The sequence below is a fragment of the Homo sapiens genome, chromosome 7, assembly GCF_000001405.40.
Source record: "Homo sapiens chromosome 7, GRCh38.p14 Primary Assembly".
In the NCBI taxonomy this organism is placed as follows: Eukaryota; Metazoa; Chordata; class Mammalia; order Primates; family Hominidae; genus Homo; species Homo sapiens.
Genome location: NC_000007.14, coordinates 50631890 through 50649696, shown reverse-complemented (window position 1 = coordinate 50649696; position 17807 = coordinate 50631890). Strand labels below are relative to the sequence as shown.

At 43.3% G+C, this 17807-nt stretch overlaps 1 protein-coding gene and 1 long non-coding RNA gene across 43 annotated transcripts in view; one reads left to right on the top strand and one right to left on the bottom strand.

The window, feature by feature from the left end:
* Positions 1 to 17807, top strand: part of GRB10 (growth factor receptor bound protein 10) — a 203386-nt gene that overhangs the window by 143757 nt on the left and 41822 nt on the right. Inside the window, exon 1 of one of the 42 annotated variants that reach the window (XM_047420256.1) lies at positions 4043 to 4123. The exons of the other annotated variants lie outside the window; for them this stretch is intronic. The gene's annotated coding sequence lies outside the window, so the exon portion shown is untranslated. Of the gene's footprint in view, positions 1 to 4042; positions 4124 to 17807 lie in introns of those variants that run through there. 42 annotated transcript variants of the gene reach the window in all.
* LOC124901632 (uncharacterized) lies at positions 5748 to 7940 on the bottom strand. Its single transcript, XR_007060323.1, has 2 exons — positions 7702 to 7940; positions 5748 to 6816 (listed from the first exon to the last, which is right to left on the bottom strand). It is a non-coding gene; the product is annotated as an uncharacterized LOC124901632 (long non-coding RNA).

Here is a 17807-nt window from a genome sequence, read left to right as displayed (position 1 = left end):
TCCCAGCCTGGGACGACACAGCAGCCTGTCTCCTGCTCACCTCACCTTGCCTCATATCATCCACAGCCCAGCAGCTCTTGTATGATTTCTAGAGAGTCATTTGAATCCCACTGTTCTCCCATCACACCCAGAATTAAATCCAAGCTCTCCCCTGTGGGGTGTACAGTCCCGTTCTCCATTCCCTCCCCCGTGTGTGTCGTCACTGTGTTCTAGCTGCCCTGGCCTTCTTGGTCCCTCACATTTGCCAGCTCAGGTCCACCTCTGTGCATTTCCCCTGTGGCGTCTCCACACAGAGGCTCTTTCCTGAGACCTTTTCTTCACTGCCACTTGGTCATCATTCAGGTGTCAGTTCAAATATCTCTTCCTCTGGGCCTTCCTGGGCTTCTTTGGAAAAGGCAGTGCCCCTGGCCAGCCTCCCTCTGACACAGCACTTGCTTGTGGTCTCCGTGTTGTTCACTGTCTCCTGAGATTATTTTGTTTGTTCTCTGTTTTACCACTAGAACGTCAGTCCCCCAGAACAGGGACAGGGTCTCTTATTCACTGCTCTGTCCACACCTCCGAGAATGGAGCCCAGCACATCCCAGGCAGACGAGTACAAGGACGATGGCCTTGTTTTTATAGAAGTTCTGGATGCTCCTCTAGGGGGATGGTCGCCCTTGCTTTGGCAGAGCCAGGATCAGAACCCAGCTCCCCAACATGGGTTTCTTACCCCCAAGTCCCGTGGCCACTCAGGAGCAGGAAGAAGAGGCAGCTGACCTTAACCAATGCATCCATCAGGAGCTAGCCCGACCACATTGAGTAGGTCTGAGGCCTGGGAGTCCCACCCAGAATATTTACTTTGTCCTCTCCTAGTGGAGCGGGAGAGCTGAGAAGATTGCTCTCAAAAGCTTCAAAGAAAAGGACCTGGGACTACTTCAAACAATAAGTCCATTGTTATGTCTCAGTGACCTTGATGACCTCCAGAAGTAGTGTTCTGGGCTCACAGCACACTGCCCTGAAGAAGGGAAACTCTGGAAGCCCAGAGGGAGTAGCTGTAGGAGGGATGTGGTCAACTGGAAAGTCCCCAGGCGTTCTATGGGAGGGGGACCTATGCTCTGCCATCCTTGGGCTGGCAGAGGACTTGGGATAAGGATTCCCAAAGGCAAAACTGAGGATGGGTCTTCCTTACCGCCTTGGGTCGAGGCTCTGCCTTCCTTTCCCTCACAGATTAAGGCAGTGGTTAAAATTACTGCTTTCAGAAGATTATCATTTTCCTTGGTTTCCTAATGCTCCTTTTTAAACCTTTTTAAAAACGTTCCAGCAGCCCAGCTTTTGTCCCCACTGTGCTATTCAATTCCACTTGTTCCCATCAGGGTGGCATCCACATGGCTAAAGCCAGCGGGGTTCTCTGTCTTCCGCTTGCCGGGCCTGCAGCAGCATGAGGGCTCCTGTCGCTCGCTGCTCTCCTTTCCACAGCTCCGTCTGGGTTTCCACCCTCTTTGCTGGACTTTCCTTCTCAGCCATCGTTGCTGGCTCTTCAGTCACTGGGCCTTGGTGCTCCGTCTCCCCTCTCTGCGCTCCCTCCCTGGACAGCCGTGGCCATTCCCTCAGCTTTCCATCTTGTCCCTATGTTGATTACTCCCCGGTTTACATTCCCATCCAAACTCTTCCTCAAGGCCCAGACTCCTGTTTCCAGCTGCCAACATGGCACCTCCATGTGGGTGCTTAAAAGACACTGCCAACGCAACAGGTCCAAAGTCAGCATCTGATCCTTCCCTCCAAACATGATACCTCCAAATTCCCATCTCAGAGCAGCAGACCAGTACCCCCATCAGAATTCCCAATTCCCTTCCTCACTCCTCTTTTGAGTTTCACGCCACCCCAGCCTGTGTACCAGAATTGGACAGCGCCTGCCTGGTCTCTGCTGTGGGACCCAGGCCTGGGCTTTACTTTCCTTGCCTGTGTCGTCATGGGAGCCTCCTGACTCAGCTGGTCCCCAGTTTCTGCCGCCTGGGAGGGAGCATCACAGTCGGCCTGTGGCATCTTTTGCTGCCTTTGAGGACCTTCTTAGCCAGCAGCCCTTTGCTGAATGTTTTTCCTTTGCCTTCTGCCATCTAACAATCTCTGAATTTTGCTTTTTGTCTATCTCCCCTACTTGAATGAAGTTCCATAAAGTCAAGGGGTTTTATTCCAGACCCGAATCCCAGCACCTTGGTGCCTGGCACGGAGAAGGTTCTCAGGGAGCATCTGCTCAGTGACTGACAGTGAGGGCACATCCGCACCCTCCCCATGTAGCTGGGCCTGAGATGGCTTGAAAAGGTTCGGCCAATCTGACTCAAATCTGAAAACATTTTTTCAAATTATAGGTTACATTTTAGGTTTAATGTTTCATTAAAGTTTGATTACCACCAAAGAAACTTTTTTCAAAAAAAGATGTTACTGGTGGAAATCCCTCTTGTAATTCTGGAGCACTAACTATTTTGATCTGCTTTTTAAGTTATAAAATGCTGAGGTTAGATGCCACATCTATATAACCAAGGTCTCTATTTAGACACTGATAGATTCTAAGTGAGTTTGTTTTGTTGTTTTGCTGAGACTGTTGTGATTTCTGTCCGAAGAGAGAATTGGACTCTTCATGCCTAAATGAGCTTTCTTCCATTAATAGGCACATTTCATCTTATGCTCCACACTTTCTGCCTCTTTTTAGTTAGTGATACTTTTATGGATGCTTGGGGTTGCCGACTTTGTGGCTGGGATGAGTGGAGGAGCCTTGAGCCTGGCTCTGCACCAGGGTTCCTATCTGGCCCCACCGGCCTTACCAGGTGGGATTGGTGCCCGTAGCAGCAGGGCTGGTTAAGTCTCAGTAGATGAGATGGAGGATTGGTTGTTGAATCATTACACCAATTGGTCCAAGAGCTACTTCCTTTTCTGGAGAAAAAGGCCTCCAGGAACATGAATGCATTAGAAGCTAGCATTTTCCCCAGAGAAGTTCACGTGAAAACTTTTTCCCACTCTACCCCCACTCATCTCTTTCCAAAGAAGCTGGTTCATTCAGTCAGGGCGTGACAATTTGCGGAATCTAGCACTACAAACAGGATTCAGAGTCAGGAGTAAGTTTGCCATGACTTATTACCATATCACCTCTATGTCCAACCAGGAGACCAAAAAAAGGAGAACCTATTTTATTTATAAAAGTAACATTCATAGTAAAAAACAAAAAGTGAAACAAATACTACAAAAAGGTATTTGGTAAACGGTGAGATTCACTTTCTTCTCAGTTTCCAACTCTAGTCTCATTCTCCAGAGGTGACACTGCGGACAGTATCTTGTGTATCTCTTCACAAAATTGATGTGCATTGTTGTGATTTCCCCTGCAGCTTCATAGTGTTGTGTTGTATGGAGGTACCGTGATAGATTTACCTCAACCCTCTTTTGATGAACAGCTCCCGGAAACAAGGGCCCCCGTGCTTTCCATTGTGTAACCTCACGTTCTAGGGTGAACGTTGCTAGGGGAAAAGACGCTACTGAGATGTTTATATACCATTTAATGGCACATAAGCTTACTTTTGTTTGCAGCTTTTTCTAATTATGAATAGAGCTGAAATGAACATTCTCGTGCATGGGTCCTTGGTCATGAATGGGGTTGTGGATGGATAGACAGATGGATAGGTTGGTTTCCAGCAGTGTCATTGCTGGAGCAGAAGTTTTATGTATTTATAAGTATGTGGGTGGGTGTAGAAAGTTCATTTTTATAAATAATGCCAAGGGCTGTATGTCACTTATAATACGATGGGAAGGCATATGACTTGGGGGCTGGCCACTGGCTAGGACTCTGCAGTTCCTCGCAATGTGGCTTTGGACCAATTCTTCTCACTGCCTAGGGCCTCGCACCACTGGGGCTCTGGTGACAGTTCCCTGGGTGGTGAGGGGACTGTGTCCAGGCAATCTATCACTTTGATTGGCTGTTTCTGTAGTTTCAAGAAACTCTAGACGATGTTTACTGAGCCTGTCTGGGAGCAAATGGACAGACCCCAAGAGGTCTGATACGACGGCGTTTGCTTTCAGATCTGCCTGGAGACCTCTTGGAGTCTGAGAACTCCGGGCGATTGGAGGATGGGGGTAAGATGTGCACAGTCAGTTTCAGGTACTTATTCTTCTTGGTGTTAGACCTTCTGAGCTGGTGCTCAGCAGATCCTTTTTGTTTGCTTGGTTTTAAAGGAGTTAGTGCCCAAATGGCAGTGTTTTTGGCTCATGTTTCTTCCCTGCCAGCCCAGCAGACATACTCCCCAGATGGCTGAAAGCTGCTGTGGGTCACTGGTGATTTTTGCATGGGTTGTGTGGTTTTTAGTACTGAAAAAGTAGCAGGCTGGGAGTCCAAGGGCTGCCAGTGAGTGTGTTCTGCTTTTTCAAAGAAATCTCCATAGTTTCTGTTTTGCCTTTCCAGTTATCAGTATTTTTGTGATTATATAATCTCATTTTGATGGTATGTAAGCTTGCTTTTTAAAAAATGAATTATGGGCAGTATAAAGATTATTAGCGTCAACTGTATTCATAGCAAATATATTTTGGAGATAAATCGGGATTTTGAGGGTGAAAATTTTATCTTCAAATACATTTTCTGGCATGTTGTAATTGAATAAAATTATAGCCCTAAATGATAGCTCCATTTATGAAATTTTTCTCATGGCTGTCATTTTCTGCGTCGTCCAGACTGGAGATGGTACTGGGGATTATAGCCCTTTTGCAGTGTTTTAGCCATCCTGTGCCTGCTGTGTCTCTCAGCTTCTCAGACTTCACCGTTTGTGAATCTGCCAGTCTTCCTTCACCAACTGGTCCGCCCATCCCATACCCAGCCCCTTCCACCTGTCTGTCATTGTTCTGTCTGTCTAGCATCTGCCCACACCTTCTTGGTCATGGGGCCTTAGCAGACAGGACAGCCCTGCTCCACTGGCCAGTGGGTGGTGGCCCAGTGGGCTGTGTAGAGGCTGATGTCCCGCTCTTGCTAGTTCGGTGCTGTGATCCAGGGTACCGCTTTCACAGCAGGCCTTACAGAGCTTACCTGAGGTTCCCTACTCAGGAAATCACAGTTAGACCTGTCCTGCTTACTGATGGTCTCAGGTGAGAGTTTTTCTGAAACGGAATGCCCATCAGTCAGTGACAGGGTTTGAAATAAGACATGAAGGAGAAGTTGTCCTGATAAAGACAGTACATTACCATAAAAGTAGACTGATGATACTGCATGCGTTTCAGGTTGCTGGGGGGCTGCTTTTGGGCTTCCAATACAAGAGGGAGGAAGAAGGCAGTGGAAGCGGGTGCTACGTCCCTTCCCTATCTGTGTCCCTGAGCTCGGCCATCACATAGCCACCAAATAAAGAGCTCGGGCATGGACTAGGGGACCCTGTGATGGTCAGCTTGTGGGACCTCACTGGGCAGGTGAACACACACCTATAGGGACCCAGTTCCAGGGCCTGGACTCAAGGAACCCCACCTGGACACCTGGGATATTTTGTTGAACCCATTGAGCTCCTAGTCTGTGATTGAGCCACACTGGCTGAGTGTTTTGGACATAAATATCCGGGATAGTGAAGACAACTGCTGAATGGAAAAGAAACAGAGATGCTCCTGGTGAAGATAGCCCTGAAACAAGGGCCCCCATGCTTTCCACTATGTAACCTCATGTTCTGGGGTGATCGTTACTATGGGAAAAGATACTACTGAGATGCTGAGTGAAGAGAGGAGAGCCGCAGGTCATTATTTTCACGCACGTATGTTTCTTTAAACTTTTATTTTGAAAAAATTTCAAATGTATAGAGAAGTTGCAGTAATAGAGCAAAGAACTCTCATATATTCTTTACCCTGATTCCCCAATTGTTAATATCTCTGCCACATTTTAAGTCATTTCCATTGTCCTGTACATATATAGAGATACATATATGCACATATATACATTTATATGTACACACACCATGATTCTTTGGACCATTTGAGACTCATTTGTAGATATCAAGTCCCTTTACTCCTAAATACCTCAGAGTCTATTGACTAAAAACAGGGTTACTCACTTACATATCATAATAAAGTTACCAAAGTCAGGATATTTACCCTTAATAAGATGCAGGGTTGAAATCTACAGACCTCGTTCAGGTTTCCCCGATTGTTCATATAAACATCCTTTATGTTATTCTTTTATTCCTGTTCAGGAACCATTTGCATTCACTTTAAGATCTCTAGTTTCCTTTAATACAGAGTGTTCCTCAGCCTTTTCACACCTGTCGTGACGGATGGGATTTCTTGAAGGGCCATTTTGGTTTGTGTGGTGTTTCCTTGGAGTCCCATCTGGTCCACAGACAGGAGGCTGTGGCCCACAGGCATGATGATGTTGGCTGGTCCAGTTTATGCTGATGTTGATATTTATGACTTGATTAGGGTGTTGTCTGTTACGTTTCTCATTAAGTCTTTCCCCAGTGTACATGGGGGATTGGTTCCAGGACCCCCTCCATGTACCCTAATCCGCTCATACTCAGTCCTGCAGTCAGCCCTTGGAACCCAAATTTACAAAAAGTTGGCCTTTCATATACACAGGTTTCAAATACCACCAAGACTCTATTTTCCACCTGCATCTGGTTGAAAAAACTATGCTTATTACTGGACCCGAATGGTTCAAACCTGTGTTGTCCAAGGGTCAAATGTATTTTCCTTTTGTAATTAAGAAGTAATTTGAAGGAAGATGATTTGAGACTGTGTCGATCCTCTGCTCTCTGCAGATGTCCATTGACTGGTGCTGTCCTGATGATGTTGTCCAGTTTGTCTATCATTCTACATTCTTGAGTAGGCATTCTGCTTGAAGGAATATCAGTTATTATTTTTTGTTCCTTATTTAGTTTCCAAATTTGCTACAATGAACACATTATATTTATAATAGAAAACTAATGTATGTATGTGTCTATGCGTGTGTGTGTGTAGGAGTATAATGATTGAGTATTCTTTATCTGAAATGCTTGGCACCAGAACTGTTTCAGAGTTCGGATTTTTTTCTGATTTTGAAATGTTTGCAGTACACTTACTAGCTGAGTATCCCAATCTGAAAATCCAAAATGCTCCAATGAGCGTTTCCGTTGAGTATCATGTCAGCACTTAAAAAGTGTCAGATTTTAGAGTTTTTTGGATTTTGTATTTTTAAATTAGCAATACTCGACCTATATGTATGTGTATATATATTTATGTGTATATATATTTATGTGTATATGTATATGTATGTATGAAGCATGTGTATATGTGCATGTGTGTATGTGTTTGTGCATGTTTGCATGTATATGTGTACGTGTTTACATATATGTAGGTGTATACGGCATATATGTGTGTGCATTTGTGTATCTGTATGCATATGTGCATGTGTTTGTATGTGTGTGTGTGTGCATGCGTGTGTGTGTGTGTGTGTGAAGTTTCCAAGCCCACATCCTCTTTGGTTGGCTGTTCTGGCCCCTTGGTTCTGAGTGCATGGCCCTTTGTCCTGCCTCTCCTGGCTGCATGCTCTGCAGTTTCCCCTGCTGGTTCCGCCTCCTGCTTAGGCCTCTGAGGCTCAAGAGGAGGGGACAGTGAGTGGAATGCAACAGGACCCAGAACAGCTAGTTAAGAAAACTCCCAGACACTCAGCAAGCTAGGTTAGAGACAGATTTTGAAGCCTCTATGTAGAGCCTCTGTCGCTGCCGCGGAACTCCTCACCTTCTCCCCACCCCGTGTTCCTCAGGTGAGCAGCAGTGAGTTCGTGCAGACTTCCTGGTACTCTGCCGCTGGCCAGGTTGAGCCTTCCCACGCCCTTGCCTCCTCGGCGCCAGTCTGCAGACACACTCTGGGCTCGCTCACGGTAAATCCTCAGGCCACTGAGCATCAGCCCAAGAGAAGGCTGTCACCACCAGCAGTCCCAGTGCCTTCTCTCGCCAGTGTCACCAGCTGACTGTCCTGCCGCAGAGATGTTGGAGCAGCAGGAGTGGACACTGTGGCCCTGCAGCTGCCCACGTGTTTGTGTTTGTGATGGTCTGCCTTGTCTGTGTGTCTGGAACTCATGGTTCCACCCCTCCCAACTTTGCACAGCTGCAGGGACCATGAGTGGCTGCAGCCTTCAGCTGCTGTCATTGTCCTTACACAGGAAAATGAGTGCCCCCAAGTGGCCTCTGGCCTGAAGAAAGTCCTTTTCCTTATCTGTTCTAAATGTACTGCCCTTCACAGCTCTCATGAATGTGTCCTTGTTACACTAGTGCCAGGGCTTTTAGGATGCCCTTCAGGGAAACTTGCATGCCCTAAGCACACTCCAGTAGAGGGAAGCCATTCAGATAGGGACATCTTGGTGCAATGTTGAATGGAAGACTTGAACAGTCACCAGCAAAACGTTTCGGCTGAGAGTGGAAGAAGCTGTAGGTTTGAATGAAGGCTACCCCCCCACCTTTTTTGATGAGTATAAAATTCAAGCATAGTAGAAGTGATGCAAGCAACTCTTTCCTAGGGTTCATTCATCGAACAGACGAACAGGTGGACAGTGCAGAGTGAGCAAGAGCAAGCAAGAGTGAGGAAGAGTGAGCAAGATGTGACTCTCTGTCCAGGAGCTTAGGAGAGGAAGAAAGACAAAAAAATTGTTCCCAGCAACGGTGGTAGGCGCTCACTGGATTGGCAGCAGGACCGCGTTCCCATGAGCCTGCGTGACTAGCCCTGGAGAGGAGATGGTGCTGTGCCTGTGTCACGTGAAAAACTGAGGCTCCAGGCACTACAGCCTGCCTTTCTGTGCTCAGCTCCATAGGGCTGGGATCCGGCAAAGCTGAGGATGGAAGGCCACAGAGGCCCTCCCCTGAGTCCATCTACAAGAAAAACAGTTCAGTGCTGTAAACAATGTACAAGGAATAGATTAGATAGAGGTGAGAGTCCCAAAGTTAATTCCAATTTAGGAAAAACTTCAGCTCATACTCCTGGATATCATGGATGAGGTCAGTGAGATATCAGAAGAAAAGGAAGATTTTAAATGTGAGATGATTTGGATGGCAAATAAGCTACAGAGAGAAGAGAGAGAATGCTGGCTCTCCTCATAGGTTTGAGAGGACAAGTGAAATTCTCTTTATGGTCAAGTTTTGTAGCAATGTCTGACTCAAGGGAAAATGCATAAATTCTAATACTAAGTAAAATACAGTCGTGGGTTACAACATCCTCTTGAAGTTCAGCACCTTCTAAAGAGAAGGGTGGAGGGGCACAGGACTAAATGCTTGGCCTTGCAGTAAACCTAATGTGGTGTCATGGTGTCTCCAGATGTACCACAGGCTTCCTCCATGATGTCACCCATCTGAAGATTACCTCGAAGGGGGCAGCCATTCCTCCAACATGTCCTTCTGTGCCTGCTGGACCTGCCTCTGTCATGACCACACAATTGAAGTAGGAATTCAGATTGTGGCACATAGCCCATTTGGGGATCTCCAGCATCCTTAGAGCCAAAAACCATACCCAACAAGGAGTCATGTGTGAAAACAGAAATCTCTAGCTGACTGTAAAGCAAGCTAACTGTGTCCCTTCTGGAATCTTAGCCCCAAAGGACAGTAGCTCCAAGAGGGCCCTGCCCCTGTTTGGGAGGAGCCCTCAGGTTGTATCTTCAGCCCAGATTAAACCTTTCTAGAGATGACCCCAGCAAGGACACTGGTACTGGGGGTCACAGCCCAGATGCCTTTCATGCCATACTTTCTTATCTTTGCTCCCCTTTAATCCACCAATGGAGATTTTTTAAAAGTGGTTTTCAATTTTATTTTTGACAAAATGATTCTATTTTATAAAAACATGTTTTTCAAAATAACAGGCTATGCATATCCATTTTAGAAAAGTTTAAAAAAATGGCAGATGAGCACATCAAAACTGATTCTTCCAAATAAGCCTGTCTACTTGGTATAAAACAAGGGTAGAGGCTACTGCTTTGAATCTTGTTGTCCACCCCCTTAGCCAGTGAGACTTGTTCACTGTGGAAAGTCCTATTAGGGTCTCTGAAAACCATGGTTGACTTTTTTTTTTTTTTTTGAGACAGAGTCTTGCTCTGGTCGCCCAAGCTGGAGTGCAGTGGCGCAATCTCGGCTCACTGCAAGCTCCGCCTCCCCGGTTCACGCCATTCTCCCGCCTCAGCCTCCCAAGTAGCTGGGACTACAGGCGCCTGCCACTACGCCCGGCTAATTTTTTGTATTTTTAGTAGAGACGGTTTCACCGTGTTAGCCAGGATGATCTCGATCTCCTGACCTTGTGATCCGCCCACTTCGGCCTCCCAAGGTGCTGGGATTACAGGCGTGAGCCACTGCGCCTGGCAAACCATGCTTGACTTTCAAGAACTCTTTAGTTATTTCTAGAACTTTATCTCCTTTAGAAAAAAGGATTTTTAAAAACAACATCTTTTTAATTTTCACTGCAAACTTGAAATCTATCAATTATAAAGCAGAATTTTAAAACGTATTTTTAAATTTTAGACTCGGGGGTGTATGTGCAGGTTTGCTACATGGATATATTGCATAATAATGAGGTTTGAGTTTCTACTGTACCCATCACCCAAATAGTGAAGATTTTACCCAACAGGTAATTTCTAAAACCCTCACCCCCTCCTTCCATCTTTCTCCATTTTGGAGTCCCCAATGTCTGTTAATTCCATCTTTATGTTTATGTGTATGCATTGTTTACCTCCAACTTCTAAGTGATAATATGTAGTATTTGCTTCTTTGTTTCTGAGTTAATTCACTTAAGATAATGGCCTCCAGCTCCACCCATGTTGCTGCAGAAGACATGATTTCATTCTTTTTTATGACTACATACTATTCTGTGGTGTATATTACCACTCTTTAAATCCAGTCTACCATTGATAGACATTTAGGTTGATTCTATGTCTTTGCCATTGTGAATAGTGCTTTGATAAACATACAGATGCATGTCTTTTTAATATAATGATGTCTTTTCCTTTGCATACATGCCCAGTAGTGGGATTACTGGGTTGAATGGTAATTCTATTTTTATTTCTTTGGGAAATCTCCATACTGTTTTCCATACAGGTTGTATTAATTTACATTCCCACCAACAGTGTATTTGGCTTTCCTTTTCTCCACACTTATGTCAACATCTTTTGTTTTGTTGACTTTTAAGTAATAGCCATTCTCCGTGGTATAAGATGATATCTCATTGTGGTTTTAATTTGCATTTCTCTGATAACTAGTGATATTGAGCATCTCTTTATGTGTTTATTGGCCGCTTGTATGTCTTCTTTTGAGAAATGTCTGTTCATGTTCTTTGCCCATTTTTTAATGGGATTGTTTGTTTTTTCTGGCTGAGTTGTTTGAGTTCGTTTTAGATTCTGGGTATTAGTCCTTTGTCATAATTTGCAAATATTTTCTCCCATTCTCTAGGTTGTCTGTTTACTGCACAGAATCTTTTAATTAAGTCCCACTTGTCTATTTTTATTCTTGTTGCATTGCTTTTGAGGGCTTAGTCATAAATTCTTTGCCTAGGCCAAACTCCAAAAGTTTTTTCCTAGGTTTTCTTCTAGGACTTTTATAGTTTCCAGTCTTACATTTAAGTCTTTAATCCATCTTGAGTTAATTTTTGTACCTGGTGAGAGACAGGGGTCCAGTTTCATTCAGACAAGGGTCCAGGTTCATTCTTCTGCTTATGGCTAAAATTTCCTGTAGATGTTTTAGTTTGTATGGATAGAGATGTTCATAGAGATAGCCAATTTTCCCAGCACTATTTATTGAATAGCATGTCTTTTTGCCATTGTTTATTTTTGTCAACTTGGTCAAAGATCAGTTGGTTGTAAGTATGTGGCTTTATTTCTGTGTTCTCTATTCCATTTCATTGATTTGTATGTCTGTTTTTTTTACCAGTACCATGCTGTTTTAGTTCCTTGAGCCATGTAATTTGAAGTCAGGTAATATAATACCTCTGGCTTTGTTCTTTTTGCTTAGAATTGCTGTGGCTATTCAAGCTCTTTTTTTTTTTTTGTTCCACATGAACTTTACAATCTTTTTTTCTAATTATGTGAAGAATGACATTGGAAATTTGATAGAAATTATGTTGAATCTGTAGACTGCTTTGGGGGCAGTATAGTCATTTTAATGATACTGATTCTTCCAATCCATGAGCATGAGATGTGTTTCCATTTGTTTGTGCCATCTATGATTCCTTTCATGAGGGTTTGTAGTTTTCCTTGTGGCAATCTTTCACCTCCTTGGTTAGATGTATTGTTACGTATTATGTGTATGTATGTTGTGTGTGTGTGTGTGGCCATTTTAAACATGATTGAGTTCTTGATTTTGTTCTCAGCTTGAATATTATTGTTGTATAGAAATGCTAATGATTTTTATATGCTGATTTTGTATTCTGAAACTTTACTGAAGTCGTTTATCAAGTCTAGGAGTCTTTCGGAAGTGTCTTTAGGGTTTTCTAAATATAAGATTAAGGCAGTGGCTCACACCTGTAATCCCAGCCCTTTGGGAGGCTGAGGTGGGTGAGTCCAGGAGTTCGAGACCAGCCTGGACAGTATAGTGAGACCTCATCTCTAAAGTACAAAAAAAATTAGCTGGGTGTGATGGCACATGCCTGTAGTCCCAGCTACTTGGGGAAGGTAAGGTGGGAGGATCACTTGAGGCCAGGAGATGGAGGTTGCAGTGAGCTGAGATCACGCCACTGCATTCCAGCAAAGTGACAGAGCCAGACCCTACCAAAAAACAAAAACAAAACAAAAAAAACACAACTCATGCCATCAAATGAACACAGAAAATTTGACTTTCTCTTCTTCAATGTGGATACCTTTTATTTCTTTCTCTTGCATGATTGCTCTGGTTAGGGCTTCCAGTGCTACGTTTAATAGTAGTGGTGAGAGTGGACATTCTTATCTTATTCCAGTTCTTAGGGGGAAATGCTTTCAACTCTTCCCTATTCAGTATGATAGTGGCTGTGGTTTTGTCCTATATGGCTCTAATTATTTTGAGGTATGTTCTTTTAGTGCCTAGTTTGTTGAGGGTTTTTTTCATGAAGGGGTGTTGTATTTTACTGAATGCTTTTTCTGCATCCATTTAGATAATCATATGGTTTTTGTTTTAGTTCTGTTGATGTGATGAATCACATTTATTGATCTGCAGATGTCAAACTATCCTTGCATCCCTGGAATTAAACCCACTTGATCATGATGTATTACCTTTTTAATGTACTGTTGGATTTGCTTTGCTAGTATTTTGTTGAGGATTTTTGCATCTATGTTTTTATAAGGGATATTGGCCTGCAGTATCCTTACTTTGTTGTGTCCTTGCCTGATTTCGGTATCAGGGTGATACTGGTTTTGTAGAATTAGTTAGGAAAGAATTTCTTCTCAAATTTTTGGAATAGTTTCAGTAAGATTGGGACCACCTCTTGTTTGTATGGCTGTTAAAATTTGGCTGTAGGGCCAGGTATGGTGGCTCACACCTGTAATCCCAGCACTTTGGGAGGCTGAGGTGGGTGGATCACCTGAGCTCATGAGTTCGAGACCAGCCTGGCCAACATGGCAAAACCCTGTCTCTACTAGAAAATACAAAAATTAGCCAGGTGTGGTGGCACGTGCCTGTAGTCCCAGCCACTTGGGAGGCTGAGGCAGAAGAATCACTTGAACCCAGGAGGCAGAGGTTGCAGTGAGCTGAGATTGCACCACTGCACTGCACTCCAGCCTGGGAGACAGAATGAGACTCTGTCTCAAAAAAAAAAAAAAAAAAAAAAAAAAAAGGAAAGGAAAAAAAAAAAAAAGCTGTGGATCCATCTGGTCCTGGGCTTTTTTTTTTTTTTATTGGAAGATTTTTATAATTACTGATTCCATTTTATTACCCCTACTTGTCTATTTAGGATTTCTGTTTCTTCCTGATTCAATCTCAGGAAGTTGGGTGTTTCCAGGAATTTATCCATTTCCTCTAGGTTTTTTAGTTTGTGTGGATAGAGATGTTCATAATAATCTGTGATGATCTTTTGTATTTCTGTGGTATCAGTTGTAATGTCACCTTTTTCATTTCTGATTGTGCTCATGTGAATCTTCTTTTGTTCTTAGGTAAACTTGCTAGCTATCAATTTTATTTATCCTTTCAAAGAACCAACTTTTGATTTCATTGATCCTTTGTGGGTTTTTTTGTTTTGTTTTGTTTTTTGGGGTCTCAATAACACTTAGTTCTGCTCTGATCTTTATTTCATTTCTTCTGCTAGCTTTGGGTTTTGTTCTTGTTTTTTTAGTTCCTTGAGGTGTGACATTGGGTTGTTAATTTGAGAACTTTCTGTCTTTTTGATATAGACATTTAACACTATAAAACTTATTTCTTAGCACTGCTTTTGCTGTATTCCAGAGGTGTTGATATGTTGTGTCTCTATTTTCATTAAAAAAATTTCTTTTTCTGCCTTAAGTTCATTGTTTACCCAAAAGTCATTCAGGAGCACGTTTTTTAGTTTCCACGTATTTGTACAGTTTTGAGAGTTCCTTATGGTATTGATTTTTAATTTTATTACACTGTGGTCCAAGAAGATACTTGATATGGTTTTGATTTTTTAAAAAATTTATTGAAATGTGCTTTATGGCAAAGCATCTGGTCAATTTTGTTTGATGTGCAGATGAGAAAAATGTATATTCTGCAGGTGCTGGGTAGCATGTTCTATAAATGTTTATTATTTCCATTTGATCAGGTCTAGCTTAAGTTCAGAGTTTCTTTGTTGACTTTCTGCCTCAGTTACCTGTCTACTGTTGTCAGTGGGGTGTTGTAGCCCCCCACTATTATGGTATTGCTGTCATTCTCTTCTTTTAGGTGTAGTTGTATTTGTTTTATGAATGTGGGTGCTTTGGTGCTTGCACACGTATTTCCAAAATTTATGTCCTCTTGTATTGAATGCATTCTTATGATATAATGCCCTTCATTGTCTCTTTTTCTAAAACTGTTGTTAGCTTAAAGTCTGTTTTATCTGATATAAGAATGGCTACTCCTGCTCACATTTGTTTTCCATTGCATGATATATATTTTTCCACCCATTTACTTTGAGTCTGTAGGTGTCTTTAGCCGTTAGGTGGGTCTCTTGTAGGCAGCAGATGGCTGGGTCTTGTTTTTTTATCCAGTTTGCCAGTCCATGTCTTTTAAATGGAACATTTAGGCCATTTATGTTCAACATTAATATTGGTATTTGAAGTGTTATTCCTGTCATAGTGTTGTTAGCTGGTTTATTTGTAGTCTCAGTTGTGTAATTGCTTTATACAGTGAGCTTTGTCTACTTATGTATGCTGTTATGATGGTGAGTATCATCCTTTTGTTTCCATTTTTATAACTCCTTTGAGAATTTTTTTGTAGGATTTGTCTAGTAGTGGCAAATTCCCTCAGCATTGGCTTATCTGGGAAAGGCTTTATTTCTCCTTCATTTTTGAAGCTTAGTTTGGCAGAATATAAAATTCTTGACTTACGTTTCTTTTTTCTTAAAGGAGGCTAAAAATAGACCCCCAGTCTCTTCTGACTTGTAAGGTTTCTGCTGAGAAGTCCACTGTTAGTCTAATGGGATTTCCATTATAGGTGATTTGACACTTCTATCTAACTGCTTTTGAAATTTGTTCTTTCATGTTGACCTTGAATTAATCTGATGACCATTCTTTGGTGAATGTGCATCTTCTGTAGTATCTCTAATGGGTTCTCTGAATTTCTTGTATCTGCATATCTACATCTCTAGCAAGTTTGGGGAAATTTTCCTGAATTATTTCCCTTAAATATGTTTCCAAACTTATTTTTTTTCTTCTCCCTCAGGAATACCTATAAGTCCTAGGTTTAAATAATCTTACATTTCTCAAAGGCTTTATTCTTTTTTAAAAAATTGTTGTTTCTTCTTATCTGGGCTAATTCAAAAGACTAGTCTTCAAGCTCTGAAATTCTTCTGCTTGGTCTACTCTATTGTTGAAGCTTTCAACTGTTTTTTGAAATTCCTTTAGTGAACTTTTCATTTCCAAAAGTTGTTGTTGTTGTTTTGTTTGTTTTTAATATATCTATCTCATCTTTCATCTCCAGAATTACTCTTCTGGTTTTTTTGTGTTGGTTTTCAACTTTCTCTTGGCTCTCATTGAGCTTCCTTACACTTCATATCTTGAATTCTTTATCTGTCATTTCAAAGTTTTCATTGTGGTTAGGAGCCATTGCTAGAGGGCTAATGTGGATGTCACAACATTGTTTCTTCATGGAGCTGGAGTTCTTGTGTTGGTTTCTTCTCATCTGTAGAAGCGGTCACTACTTATTTTTGAATTTACTTTCATTTGCTTGGTATTTTTTCTTCCCTCCCCCACCTTGAGGATGTGACTGTTCTGTATGTTGGTTAAGTTCCTTTGTCTTGGCTTCTCTGTAGTTTTAGGGGGCCAAGGCTTTTATGAATTACTTGGTTATAGATAGCTTTAGTGTAGTGGTTTTCTCAAATGCTAGTTGTTTGTAGGTTGTAGTAACAGTGTGCTGGACCAGTGGTCAGACTCACTGTCTCCTACAGAGAAATGGGGAGGTGGAGGTTTCAGGAGGCTTATCTCATCCCCCACCGCTGTATACTGTCAGCAGGAATTACTTTGAGTTATGCAGTTCACCCTACAGGCCAGTAGGTGGCGCTTGCAGTTGAGAGGCAGTTGCAATAATAGCAGTGGAATTTTTGGCCTTTGTTGATGTGGGGAAATACCAGGGTTTCCCTGGCCATGGGCGGGATTCCCAGGGATCCCGTCCTGCACTCTGCCACCACCCTGGCTGGGGGCGGCAGAGCTGGGTATGGCTGGGTCTGGCAAGCCCGTGACCAGGCTCTCCAGGGCAGGTACAAGCACCAACCTTGGCGGGGGTCTAGGGACACCTCTCAGGCCACTGGGACAACCCTCTAGTGTGCAGCACAGTTGCCTTTCCTGCGCAACAGAGTCTCTTCAGTAGGAGGAGCAACTGGGATGCTTAGCCCAGCAGGTAGCCCTGGAGACTGCCAGCTCACACTCCCCCAACCCTGTGGTTCTCCCTCCAGCATCCAGCCCTAGCAACTGGCCCAACCAGCTAGGCTTCTCCCAAGTCATCCGCACTGCCCTGAGCTCCTGGTACTCAGGACCTCAGGACTCCCTGCAACGGAAACCAAGGCTATCAGGCCACACCCTTCTGGGTCTGGTCTCACTAAGGGTGGGGCACCCGGCTCCCATGCCACCCCTTGAACCTGCGCCACACTCTTTGCTGTGTTCAGACAGTGGGGGCTCCTCCAGTATTTGAAATCAGGCCACAAGTCTCATCTCCATAGCCCTGGGCAGTGTGCTGCGTCCTGGGGAGCTGAGACCAGGCCTCAGGGTCAAGCCTCAGCTGTGGTGGGGGACACTGAACTGCTCCCAGGCTAACAACAAAACACTTCAGGTGGGACAATGCAGGCTATTAAGCACATTTTTTTTAAGTAGGTTTGAGTCACTATAATTGAACAGGATTATTATGCGTGTTCTCTTTATGGTGAGTAGAGCCATATAATCATGTGTAGTGCTTCAGTTATCCCTTATATCAAGAAATAATATCATTAATTTAAAACAGAACTAAAAATAATGGCAGAATTACATTCCTTTTTGGTGAGATTAATTTAGCCTACCCTGGTTGGTTATGCCCTAGTCTGAAGTAAATGTAATTTACCCCAAACCTCCAGGCTTCAGGGTCTGCCCAATTTGAGGCCTTCAGGGCCACATGGAATCAAAAGCCTTTTTGTGTGAAGCCTTGGAGCCCACCTGGTACACGCTGGGTAGTGGGTTGCAGTGGAGAAGAAAGGCAAGCAGAGCCAGGGCGGGGAGCCCTGGTTAGATCCTG